We start from the raw sequence: 2,768 nt of genomic DNA on the forward strand, positions 1-2,768 counted from the left end.
CTAGGAATTATGCAAGAGGGCCTTGGGCCCAGTTAATAATTAAATATTCTATTACTAAAGGAAGAAAGGGAGAATGGCAAATAGTTGAGAGTCTCAGTTAAAAGCGTAGCCCAACAAAACACAAGTGTTCCAAAGTAGAGGCCAGTATGGAATGAAATAAGCAAGATGTGGCTATAAAGTAAACAGGAAACTTTATCACGAAGGGTCATGTAGGCCATTTTTAAAGACTTTGGCTTTTACTTTAAGTGAAATAGGAGAGTAACTGCGGAGTTTTGAACAGGAAAGTAACACAATTTGACCTATACTTTGAAGGATTTCTCTACTTCAGCTTCTTCTCTATGAGAAGACCACCGATTTTAAAAGTAACACTTTTGAGATGTATTAGTGATAGGGACAGAAGGCAGAGAAATTCTAGGCAGAAAATGGCGAGTCCCCGGTGAAACCCTACCCTCAGCTGAAAAGCCTGAAACTGCAGCCCAAAGCGAGAGTTTATATCCTTGTCTTTTTGGTCGAATGTTGCCTTTTCCTAAACCACCCATGGCCCCTCCCTGCCCCATCCTGTGCCTATTGAAACCCCAGTCTCAGTGGGTAGATGGGACTATGGCTGGATGTTGGAGAGAAGCAGCTTGACTTCAGAGGGACAGCTTGACAGAATAACTTTGGAGAAGAATCTAGCCAGAGACAGCCAGACTTCAGGGGAAGATTACTTACCCACCTCACCCCCTTTTCAGCTCCTCTTCCCACTGAGAGCCACTTTCATCAGCAAAAAAAATAAAATAAAAAATAAAATAAAAAATAGTAATAATCCCCTGCATTTACCATCCTTCAATTCGTTAGTGAGACCTTATTTTTCCTGGATGCCGCACTACCATTCAGGAGCCGCAAGTGTGGATACAAAAGGGTGTCATGCTGATCCTTTGCCCTCGCTGGCAAAGAGCAGCTGCTTCATGCAAAAAGGCAGAGGGCCCACTGACCAGTTAACATTTAAGCCGCCCGTGGATGACAGAGCTAAAAGAGCACTGTAACATGCCCTCTAGGGGATCGGGGGCCACAGGCACCCCCACCTAGATGCTGCCACAGGGCCCACATGGAGTATGCTCCTGCCAGAGCCCAAAAGCGCTGGTTCCAGCTCCTGCATCTACTCAACTGTGTGCTCCCTCCCACAAGGGGTGGGACACAGTGGGTCCGAGTGAGTGGAGTTCGATTCCACTGCTGCTGACTCAGCTGGTCAACTCCAGCACTCTTGCACTCCAGTTCCTGCCTTATTCGCTCATGCACTCCCTCCAGCAAGGAGTTGAGAGTGGTGGGCTGAAGAAACAAGGCACCCCTGTCACAAAACCCATGAAGGGGTCAGGGAAATATCCTGCTCCATTAGGATGTTTTTGCATGGTCCAGATAAGTGATCATTATAGCTCAGATCATGTTGTCATACTAGAAATAATAAAAGTTTACATTTGTATATATATTGAAAATACAGTCAACATGATTATGGAGTGGTGTGAAACTAAGGATGTCTTAATGGTTGTTGGCTTGAAAACCCAGATATAAGGAATTTCTGGCCAGGTGAGGTGACTCACACCTGTAATCCCAGCACTTCTGGAGGCCAAGGTGGGCAGATAACTTTAAATCAGGAGTTTGAGACCAGCCTGGCCAACATGGTGAAACCCTGTCTCTACTAAAAATCCAAAATTAGCCAGGTGTGGTGGCAGTGTCTGTAATCCCAGCTACTCAGGAGGCTGAGACAGGAAAATTACTTGAACCCAGGAGGCAAAGGCTGCAGTGAGCCAAGATCATGCCACTGCACTCCAGCCTGGGTGACAGAGTGATACTCCATCTCAAAAAAAGAAAAAGAAAGAAAAAACAAAAAGAATTTCCATCAAGGTAGGGCCCAGTGGCACATGCCTGTTATCCCAGCACTTCGGGAGCCTGAGGCAGGAGAATTTCTTGAGACTAGGAGTTTGAGACCATTTGGGCAACATAGCAAGATCTTGTCTCTACTAAATAAAAATAATAATAATAATTAGCCAGGCATAGTGGCATGCACCTGTAGTCTCAGCTACAGTCTCAGGAGGCTGAGGTGGAAGGATGACTTGAGCCCAGGTGTTTAAGGTTGCAGTGAACTATGACTGCACCACTGCACTCCAGCCTGGGAAACAGAGTGAGACCTTGTTAAGAAAGAGAAAGAGAAAGAAAAAGGGAAGAAAAAGAAAGAAAGAAAGAAAGAAAGAAAGAAAGAAAGAAAGAAAGAGAAGAAAGAAAGAGAAAGGCAAAGGAAGGAAGGAAAGAAAGAAGGAACAAAGGAAGGAAGGAAGGCAAGCAAGAAAGCAAGAAAGAAAAAGAAAAGGAAGGAAGGGAGGGAGGGAGGCAGGAAGAGAGGGAGGAAGAGAGGAAGAAGAAAAAAGAGTTGCCATCAAATAGGAGGTGAAAATCTGTGGTTAGAGTAGGTCTTGTGTATAGGGAATGTCAGGAATTCACTTCTGAATACATTTTGTTTGAGATGCATACATATACAAATTGAGATGCTGAATAGACAGTTGGAAAAATAGGTATAGAGTTATGAAGAGACTCCTGAACTTGATGTATTAATTTGGGTATAGAGTGCAAGAAGATGGATATTTAAACTTGTTGGACTGAGATAACATCAACAAAGGAATAAATAGTAAAAGAAAGGGGTCCAAACTTGTCTCTTGAGGCAAATATTGAGAGTAAAACCTATAGAGAGAAAACGGTTGAAAAGAGAGAGAGAAGTAATAAAGACAAGTGAAGAA

General features: G+C 43.7%; 1 annotated feature.

Annotated features, from left to right (window-relative positions):
- Window positions 2,568-2,768: a silencer, noted in NCBI's record as "peak6822 fragment used in MPRA reporter construct". NCBI's record gives its function as "represses an SCP1 promoter by STARR-seq MPRAs in K562 erythroleukemia cells {active_cell/tissue: K562}" and the evidence as "EXISTENCE:reporter gene assay evidence [ECO:0000049][PMID:32103011]".

Source organism: Homo sapiens, chromosome 7, assembly GCF_000001405.40.
Source record: "Homo sapiens chromosome 7, GRCh38.p14 Primary Assembly".
Classification (NCBI taxonomy): domain Eukaryota; kingdom Metazoa; phylum Chordata; class Mammalia; order Primates; family Hominidae; genus Homo; species Homo sapiens.